At 34.7% G+C, this 10,962-nt stretch overlaps 1 long non-coding RNA gene and 1 pseudogene across 1 annotated transcript in view; both read right to left on the bottom strand.

Annotated features, from left to right (window-relative positions):
* Positions 1–267: 267 nt before the first annotated feature.
* LOC107984035 (uncharacterized) overlaps positions 268–10,962 on the bottom strand; it is a 123,240-nt gene continuing 112,545 nt past the window's right edge. Inside the window, exons 2-3 of the long non-coding RNA NR_148348.1 lie at positions 7,316–7,491; positions 268–2,424 (exon numbers count right to left, since the gene is read on the bottom strand). This is a non-coding gene — a long non-coding RNA (uncharacterized LOC107984035). The remainder of the gene's footprint in view (positions 2,425–7,315; positions 7,492–10,962) is intronic.
* RPL7AP45 (ribosomal protein L7a pseudogene 45) lies at positions 1,835–2,436 on the bottom strand (annotated as a pseudogene).

The following is a 10,962-nucleotide window of genomic DNA, read 5'->3' as shown; positions in this document are numbered from 1 at the left end:
CCGGACAATAGGAGTCTCCAGTCCAAAGTCTTCTGTTGGAAGGTTATCACAAATCTTAAAAATGGCCTTCATCAATACTCCGAGCATGCTCAGTCATTGGCCAGGAACAGCCAGAGAAAATATGGTCTGAGTGCAAAGATAGTCATACAACCAGAAAAACAGTAGCTGGGGCTGCCTGTCATCCATGCTCACTGAAGCAAGAGTTGTGAGTGGTGACCACATATATCAAATATTTCTATGAAAAAAACAAAACAAAACAAAACCCAATCAAGTGAAACTCCAAAATGATAACCTTTAATGCTTATTAGATGGCACAAGTGTTAGGTTGGGTATTTTACTAAATATTTAATCATTGTATATGCACATATTTATGGGCATGTGAGCTTAATTTCTGTTTTTAAATTCAGAATGCTTCAATAATAACATTGCATTTTATATAATCCTGATTTTCTTTTTTAAAATCAGCTCAAAAGGAGAAGTTAAATATTCAGCTTTAATTTCACCAGTAGATTTTTAATGTTTTGTAATCATAATGTTTAATTTGTGCTGTTCTTAGAACTTTAATTATGAAGCTAAATTGTACTAATACCCATTAGGTACTTCTTAATTGAAGGCACATCATATGTCTGATGTGGCAGTACTAATTGGTGTAATTAAATTCTAATATGCTTCAGTAGCCTGATTTTTTTAAGTGAATAAAAAGCTGATAGAAATAAGTCAGCTCTTGAAGCTGCATAGTTGTATAATACATACACGTGTTTGCATTTGTAACATGCACATTTATTCAGAAGAAACAACTCATTAATTTATTCTAAAACCATTTCACCTGATAACTTAAAATACAGAGTAAAACAAATTGGTCAGGTAAATATACATGTAACTTAAAAAGAAACAGTCATGTACTTTAGGCATAAGGACAATGCTTTTCTCTTTTACAAATTCTAAGTTAGGTCAAATTCTCTGAAAGTCACTACCTTTCTTTACTGTGATGTGTTTTCGGTGAAGTTACAGCCTATTTGCAAATCACATCACTGGTTTGTCCAAGCAGAGGTAGATGAGAGGTAAGCTCCTGTCCTGCTAAAAGTCTCCTAAAAACAGCAAGAAAATATTTTTACATGTTCAAAAATGCTCATTTATTTATATTCCTAAATTTTCTTTTACTCAGTATAATATAGATAATTTAAAAATAAGTAGAATATTTTTATTATATATGTTTTATTTTTATACTTCTAGTTAAATTAATAGTGGAACATTATATATCTATTAAATGTTTTAAATTACATGGAATTAAAATATCAAAGTTAATTATGTTATTATAATTTTTAAATTTCAGAAACCTTCTTTAAAATTCTTACTGTTTTATCTTAAAAAATTCATATAGAAATTGTGGTCAGATGTAAACTGTGACTCTGAGCACAAATCCCAATGCTATTGCCAATTTAATTCCAATTTTTGTGTTCACACATGAAATGTAGTTTTTCTTTTATTGAGTTTTAAAAATCTGTAAGATTTACCTATCTGAATATACACTCAGGTCTAGCTTCATGTTCCTGTGACCTGTGTGGTCACAAAAGGACCCATGTACATAATGACCTCATACTTGGCCTAATGCTCTCCTGTTGCCATCTTGAAACGCTTAACACTTTGAACGAGGTACAACATCCACTTCATTTTGCGCTGGGCCCTGCAAATCATGTAGACAGTCATATATGAGTCCAGTATTTTCCTACCACCAGACATTTTAATGTACTGAAGAGATAAAAAAAAACCTAATAATTAGAAGTTTTAAAAGAATATTTTTAAGAGTTGTTGTTTGTTTGTTTGTTTTTTAATCCTAGATGTCTCAAGCTTGCCTTCCATTAGATAATGCAGTAAGGAACCCCCAGTTTACAACACAGGGCAGGCAGGAAGACAACCAACTCAATGGGATCTCTGTCCTGTGCAGTCATCACCAGCTGATCCTTCTTTTTCTCCACTAAGGTGGTGACAGCGTTAACCCCCATTAAAAGGACAGGTGATCTCTTAGTGGGGATGTCTCCTTTGCTTTTTTCTCAGCCCAGGCCAACAGTCTCTGCTGCTTCTCTTGCTTTGTCTCTGGTCTGTACTTGCCAGCCAGCTTACCCCATTGAGCAGCTGTTTGGTGGTCCAAGGCCCTGGTGAACTGACTAATCACAGAAGGCACTTCTAGCTGCTTATAGAGGATGGCTCTCTGCTGCTGCAACCTAGTATAATGGGGCCATTTGACAAAGCAAGTGAGGTCCCTTTTGGGCTGGATGTTCTGTCCAATGCCAAAATGTCCTGTCCAGTGCCAAATTTCTCAAATGGAAGATTCACCACTTTCATGGTCTCCTGCTTTTTCAAGACCGCAAGGGTTAGCACCACCTTCTTCCCTTTGGCCTTTTTTCTTTTTCGCACCTTGGGTAGCTGGAGAAGAGAATAATAAGATCTTGAGAGAAAAATAAGTTGAAGCCAGAGGTAAAACTGAATATTGGTAATATCTTTTTGTTTTAGGGTTGCTTTCCATTTTAGAAAGTAATTCAGAGTGTTATTTTTTAAAAATCATATATCAGAGTTCTCTAATAAATTTCAAACTTAAAAGAACATTTAACTTCATAAGAGAAGAGAAATGTTTCATGAACATATTTTAAAGATAGGGAAACTAGAATACAATTTGGAGTAAAACTAATATTTTAAGTAACCTGGAGATAGGACTCATATCTTTTAATAGAACATGCATTCTAACAAGCCAGTGATTTTTCAAAGTTTTCTAAAACACTTTTCTCAAACCACATTTAACCTAGAAGTAGAAACAAATAAAAGACACAAAATTAGAGTTAATTTTATTGTAACTGGGTTGGCTCCAGAGATTATAGTTAGGAAGTGATTACATTAAGCTCTACATATGCAGCATTCTAGCAAATTTCAATGCAGTAGACAAAATCTATAAATAATGTGAAACACATATTAACATGTTAAGCATAATATGCATTCATTGTCTTCAACAGAATAGTTCCCTATTAATTTTTTAAATGTAATACAATTTTACTTTAAAAACACTGAAAAATCAACATATTTCATTAAGAAAAAATTATAAATGTTGCAAAATGATGATGAAAATACCTATAGTAATAATTCCCAACTATAACAATTTTGTTTTATCTAATACTGGTCAGCTTTCCATGTGTCCAAGCATTACAGGACTTTTCATTAAGCCTAATCCTCACAAGAACATTGCTTTGAGCGATGTTCCAGAGTGGTAGTCCTTTAAGGCATTAGAACGATTTGTGAAATCCCTAAAAATACTAGGGGAAATATTCAAAAAATGACAATAGTGCCATTATTCCTCCTCCTCAAAGAGACTATCAGAACTAAAACTCTTTGCTTCATGTTCCTGTTTACTTCTGTCACTTTCAAGTCACAGAGGTATTATCAGACTGTCATCATTATATGACTCTGCTTTTCCAACAGAATCAATTACCTATTCCTTATCTCACAACTTGATAGTGATAGATATTGAATGCTTATGTTCTGATTAGCAAACTCTTTTTGCGTTTTTAATAACAACTTGAACTCCTGATATGTCTGGAAAATATAACCCCTTCAACAGCCCTTTCAATGGGTTGCTACTATTTTGCTCACCCCATCTTCACCTGCCTAATCATGAGGAGGCGGGGTATATACAATTTCAGTTAATTTGTAGTTATCAGTCTATTATAGTTCTTTCCTTCTGAAAACCAACAAGTAAATAAACCAGCAAGCATCACCAATAAACTTTGACAGTTTATGGTTCATAACGTACGTCTACACCAAACTTTCCATTCAAATGCTTTTTCAAACCTTTGTTTGGTTTCTTTCTCTATTAAGACAACTTTTGCTTTTGGCTTTCAAAGGCATTCTCTCCATTATAAACTCTGTCGTTATTCTCTATTGTGCTTACCTCAAACTGATAACTCTTTCAAATCTTACCTGTCAGTTTCTTGACCACCATGCATGTTAATAACATTTCTTCTCTATTTTAGACAGCAAATGTTTCTCAATATTAAAAAAAAAAAATCCTACTCTTTGGTCCTCTCTACCTCCCATTTCATCCAATATCACTTGTTCAAGACCTGAACTCGTACAGGTTTTTAACCTGTTGAAGACTGTCACTCTATGGACTCTACTCTCTTCTCTCTCCTCCATAGCCTTCTCATTGCCTATCTTCCCTACTTGTCCAGGAAATGATGACATGTTTCATCACCATAATTAATCCATTTCAAATGGCCTTTATGCCAAATGATTTTATTATATACTCTTTCTGTGCCATGCCTTGTTTTCCAAATTTACCACAGTACAAATTTTACAATTAGTTTTCCATTACTGAATTAGTACCAATCTCTGTCTTAAAAAATAAATACAGTAAAAAATGATAACGAATTTATTTCTTCTTATAATACTATCACTGGTGCATGGTTAGAATAAATTAATCTTAGGATGATATAAGCATTTCTCCAAATAGTCTTCAAATTCATTGATTTTTTTGTGATTTCAATTTCCATATTTATTGTTCCTGTTGCAATTTTTTCAGATTTTATATGTATTAACTCAGAACACACACCTCTTATCACACATATTTTTTCATGTAATTTATCTAAATCTTATAGAAAAGGGTCCATTTGCATTTTCTCTTATTAGACTCCTGATTTCAAATAATATATTACTTATGAGTATTTTTCTGTGCTGTAGTTATTCATTCTTATAGATATGTAACATAATTCCTTTTGCAAAGGTAAAAATTGAGCTATCTCTTGTTGAGGATTTGTTGATCTCTGTCTAAAGTTTCAAAAATAAAGAACTTTAAAAGCAAAATGTAAATTCCTTTCAAGTTTTAGTAAAATTACTTCAAACTTAGTAGCTTAAACAATACAGATTTATTATGTTACAGTTCTGTAAGACAGAAATCTGACTTGATCACACCATGGTAAAACCAAGATACTGCCAGGGTTGGTTTTTTCTTGGGGGGGGTCTGTGGGAAGAGTTTGTTTCCTTTGGTTTTCCACAGCCCAGAGGCTGCTTGCATTCCTTTGATCACTGTCCCTTCCTCCATTTTTAAAATGAGGAATGGAGTCAGGGTGACTATGGTTAGCAATATTGTATTGTATATTTCAAAATAGCTAGAAGAGAGGATTTTTGAATTCTCTCACCGTAAAGATATCAAAGATGTATGAAGTGAAGAATATGTTGAATATCCTGATTCAATATTTAAACTATACATACACGTGTTGAAACATCACACTGTATCCCATAAATATGTACAATAATTATGTGTCATAAAACAAGATTTAAATTGTTTTAAAGGGCCAGCAATGGCAGTTTGTGAGTTCCCATCTCATCACTCTAACTTCTTCTGCCTCCTTCCACTTGTAAATGTCCTTCTGATTATTTTGGTCCCATCAGGATAATCCAGAATAACTTTCCTATCTTAATATCAACTGACGAACAACCTTAGTTTAGTCTACAATTTCAATTTTCCTTTGCCATGCAACTAACATATTCACAAATTCTGGGGACTAGAATGTGGACACCCATTGTATTAGTTTGTCCTCACACTGCTAATAAAGACACAGCTGAGACTGGGTAATTTATAAAAGAAAGAGGTTTAACTGACTTATAGTTCCACATGGCTGGTGAGCCCTCAAAATCATGGTGGAAAGCCAATGAGAAGCAATGTTGCATCCCACGTGGTGGCAGGCAAGAGAGCTTGTGCAGGAGAACTCCCGTTTATAAACCCAGCAGATCTCGTGAAACTTATTTACTACCACAAGAACAGCATGGGATAAACCGTCCCCATGATTAAATTCTCTCTACCTGACCCCATTCTTCACATGGAATTATTACAATTCAAGGTGAGATTTGGGTGGGGATACAGCCAAATCACATCATCTGTGGAGAGCTGTGATTCTGCCTACCACAAGTAAGATGTACAAAGCATGGAAGGAGCTACAGCCAGAAACAATTATACCATTGGGAATTTCTAGCAGAATAAATAGCAGTTATTAACTGATAAGTTAATAGATTAAGTAAACCTAAATAATTGCCTTCATTAGCAGCGAGGCTTTTGATGGTCCATGTATCACAGATATTTAAACACAAATACATTTTTCTCATTTATTCCAATAACAAAGTGTTTGTTTTGTTTTGTTTTGTTTTGTTTGTTTGGTTTGTTTTGTTTTGTTTTTGAAAGTTTGGTATGAGAGAGAAAGAGATGAGCTGATTTGACTACTCCAGGCTAGAGGATATGTAGCTGAGAGTCTATGGCTGAGTGGAGGAAAAAAAAAAAATCACAAGCCCTGTCCAGGATAACAGAGAGAGAAAGCTGTTTCTGTTGAGATTTGATGGCCCTCATCACACCAAATTTGGGCTTCTAGCTAGCCTCAGTTCTTCAGATAACTGACCTTCCTTCTTTCCTCCCTCTTGTAATAGTCTTTGTGTACTAGAAGTACCTTGAAATACTGGGTCAGAAAATGTGGCACAAAAGAGAAAAGCTGGCTCACTCCACATCTTGACCTGATCATTTCCTGAACATGATTGAGGTAGATGACTCTTTGCTCCTCTTTGGCTGACCTGCAGGAATAACATTGGGAATAAGCAAATCTCCTTTGGACTCCAGAGGGTGGTGGTCAGGAAGTGGGCCATTGAGAACCTAGGTGGAAATGCAGGCCAGATTATCGGAGTAGTTTGCTTTATAATGTTAAAATATTTATACACATGTTATGTGGGCCTCTATTTCCACTCTTATCTTAGAGCCCACACGTATTATGGAGGGTCTAGCAGTGTTTGTGGAGTTTTTGGTACTATACCTTTTTCAAGATAAAGTAAAAAACATTTATGGATAATTTAATTGTTTCCTATGTAGATTCCAGTGCCAAATTCCTTTCTTAGACACTGTTTCTAGTATAACATGTTAATATGTGACCCCTGTTTCACTTACAGATTTTTAGAGATCTATCCCAGGTTACTTAATTCAACTCCAAGACATACTTTTCTTTTAAATGCAGGGAATAAAGGGTCAGTTACTTAGTTACTCCGGTTTTATTTAATCCTACTGTCATCTGACAATATGGTACTGATACTATTTCCTATTTCTAGATGGTTGCTAGAAATATACTGTAATATTTATTCTTGATATATGTTTGTTACTTTAACGGGAATACATAGGCTATAAATAGTCCCCTTGCCTCTCACAAGTTAGACAGTCCTGCCCAGAATGCCCTGCTGAAGAGTTGTAGCAGATCACCCTGTTCCTCCTTAACCTCTCTGTTCCTCATATGCTCACCTGTAAAATAGTGATCATAGTAACACCCATCTTGTGATGATGTAGAGAGGTTTAAAGAAGCGAATTAGGGGAGGCCAGGCATGGTGGCTTATGTCTGTAATTCCAGCACTTTGGGAGTCCAATCACTTGAAGTCAGGAGTTCGAGACCAGCCTGGCCAACATGGTGAAACCCACTTCTACTAAAACAAACAAACAAACAAACAAAAAACACAAAAATTAACTGGGCATTGTGGCAGTTGCTTCTAATCCCAGCTACTTGGTTGGCTGAGGCAGGAGAATCCGTTGGACCCAGGAGGCGGAGGTTGCAGTGAGCCGAGGTCACACCACTGCACTCCAGCTTGGGTAACAGAGCAAGGTTTTGTCTCAAAAAAAAAAAAAAAGAAAGAAACCAATTAGGGTGGAAACACTTAGAACAGGGTGTTCATAAGTTGTCACCCTCTTGAAGCAATTGTTGGACACTATTTTAAAAATGTTTTACTTCTGAGTGAAATGTTGCATTTTATTTTACTGGAAGATTCTTATGTAGTTTAAGTACATTTTACGGTATTGTCAAAGAGCATGAGCAAAATATTTAGGAAAGATGAGACCATATTTCTTTTATTTATGACATTGCCACAAAAAATCAGGTAGATGAATTTGTATTAAGTTTTTGTACCAATTTCATATCTAAAATTTCAAAGAATTTTATTGCAACAAACTCTTTCTTACCATTAACTCAAAAAAATTCTGTTTTAAATTGACTTCATTCCATAAGTCTCTACACTACTAATTTGGCCAGAAGTTATTTTCAATCCTAATTGGGAACAACAAAGATCCACATGATATCCTTTCAATTTATGATGTTGAAGAAAGTTGAATTGTAATAATTTGAGTGTGCAGTCAAAGCAATTTTCAATACTATGTATCACTATAGAAACAAGGGAGAATGTCTTGGTTAACTATTTAAGTGGCTTGAGTATGGCAATTAAAATTTCATCTAAGCTCATTTTGATGAATCTTGAAGGTGACATTTATTTCTTATGCTCTGAACATCGTAAGTTCTGTTGATTTTTATGGGAAGTTTTCAAGGTCATTTTCAGAGATCTATGACAAAATGACATTATTTGAGAAAAAAAAGAAGAAATAGCTCGAAGTTTAAAGCATTATGGTATTCCCTAAGCCCAAAATTTTCTCCCTTTACAAAAACAAATGAAAGGCAAAATAGACAAACAAAGAAACCATCAAGAATACCTTGAATCACTGTTGGTGCGAATGAAAATTAGTTCGACCATTGTGGAAGACAGTGTGGAGATTCCTCATGGATCTAGAATCAGAAATCCCATGACCCAGTAGTCACATTACTTGGTATATACCCAAAGGAATATAAATCATTCTATTATGAAGACACATGCACACATATGTTTATTGCAGCAGCTATACTATTTATTATAGCAAAGACATGGAACCAACCCAAATGCCCATCAGTGATAGACTAGATAAAGAAAATGTGGTACATATACACCATGGAATACTATGCAGCCATCTAAAGAACCAGATCATATCCTTTGTAGGAACATGGAAACCACCATCCTCATCAAACTAACACAGGAACAGAAAACCAAACACCTCATGTTCTCACTCATAAGTGAGAGTTGATCAACGAGAACACATTGACACAGGGAGGGGAACAACACACAGTGGGGCCTGTTGGGGCGTGGGGGGAAAGGGGAGGGAGAGCATTAGGACTGATATCTAATGCATGCAGCTTAAAACCTAGATGATGGTTTGATAGGGGCAGCAAACCACCATGGCACATGTATACCTATGTAACAAACCTGCAAATTCTGCATATGTATCCCAGAAATTAAAGTAAAATAAAATAAAATAAAATAATAAAAACAACAACAAAATGTACCTTGAATCTCCAAAATAAGTTAAGACAAATAGTTAAAATTGAGCATGCTTTTATTAGAAGAAGAAAATGTCATTGAAAATATAACAGATAATTTATAGATGGGAACATACGTAAAAACGTATAAGTACTTAGATCTGCTAGATAAAGTGAGTCCCAAATGATAAGGTTACAAAAATAATGTTTTTTTTGTAGAATATGTGTTTTCAATGAGAAAGTGTTGCAAAAGTCAGTCATACAGATTGGTAACTTTTATGTTTATTTTTCAAAAGCAGCTCAAAATAGTTCTTTAGATTCTGTAACACCACGGTGTCCTAATTTTGCTCCTAAAATTTTGTCACAAAATTTTAAATTCACTTGCAAATTGATCTTCATTTAATCTTCCTCTAGGTGTGTAAGCTAAATCAGAGATCTGCATGAACTGCTTATTACTCTTTCATGCTATACATTCTCCCTAGGTAATTTTGATCACTGCAATCTTTTCCATCATCATTTCTACTTGAAGACTAACTAATATAGGTAGAACAAATTTCAACTTCTAGACCTATATGCTTTCCAGATATCTCAAATAAAAGATAAAATTTGGGGAGATATACCATGTTCATGATTTTGAAATAGTCAAGACTGTGTGATATTGTCCTCAAGAAAGACTAAATAGATCAACAGAACAGAATAGAAAATACAAAAACAGATTTACACATATAGTTAAAATCTTTTTTTTTAAATAGCAAGTCAATTCATCAGGGAAAGTATCAGCTTTGAAGAAATGGAAGAGTTTTCAAAGCAAGAAATGTAAAACAGTTGGGTATTTATAAGCAATAGAAAAACAAATTTGATTCATAGCTTGCAAAATATATAAACATTAATAAAAAGCCAACCTGAATGTATTGAAATCTTAGATATAAACATAAGATAAATCTTTGTGACCTTAGTTGAAACAAATAAATGCTGTATATGACATTAAACATTTAATTTGTAAAATAAAATATTAACTTGAACTTCTTCAAAAGTGAAAATTTTTACTCTTTTTTAAAAATTATTATACTTTAAGTTCTGGGAAACATGTGCAGAATGTGTAGGTTTGTTACATAGGTATATACATGCCATGGTGGTTTGCTGCACCCTTCAACCCATCATCTATTTTAGGTATTTCTCCTAATGCTATCCCTCCCCAAGCCCCCCACCCCCTGACAGGCCCCAGTGTGTGATGTTCCCTTCCCTGTGTCCATGTGCTCTAATTTTTCAGCTCCCAATTATGAGTGAGAACATGCGGTGTTTGGTTTTCTGTTCCTGTGTTAGTTTGCTGAGAATGATCGTTTCCAGCTTTATCCATGTCCCTGCAAAGGACATGAACTCATCCTTTTTTATGGCTGCATAGTGTTCCATAGTGTATATGTGCCACATTTTCTTTATCCAGTCTATGATTGATGGGCATTTGTGTTGGTTCCAAGTCTTTGCTATTGTGAACAGTGCTGCAATAAACCTACGTGTGCATGTGTCTTTATACTAGAATGATTCATAATCCTTTTTCTATTTAGTAATGGGATTGCTGGGTCAAACGGTATTTCTAGTTCTAGATCCTTGAAGAATCACCACACTGTCTTCCACAATGGTTGAACTAATTTACACTTTCACCAACAGTGTAAAAGTGTTCCTATTTCTCCACATCCTCTCCAGCATCTGTTGTTTTCTGACTTTTTAATGATCACCATTCTAACCAGAGTGAGATGGTATCTCATTGTGGTTTTGATTTGCA

The sequence above is a fragment of the Homo sapiens genome, chromosome 9, assembly GCF_000001405.40.
Source record: "Homo sapiens chromosome 9, GRCh38.p14 Primary Assembly".
Classification (NCBI taxonomy): Eukaryota; Metazoa; Chordata; class Mammalia; order Primates; family Hominidae; genus Homo; species Homo sapiens.
The sequence above is the reverse complement of the archived record's forward strand: the minus strand, read 5'-3'. Positions and strand labels throughout refer to the sequence as shown.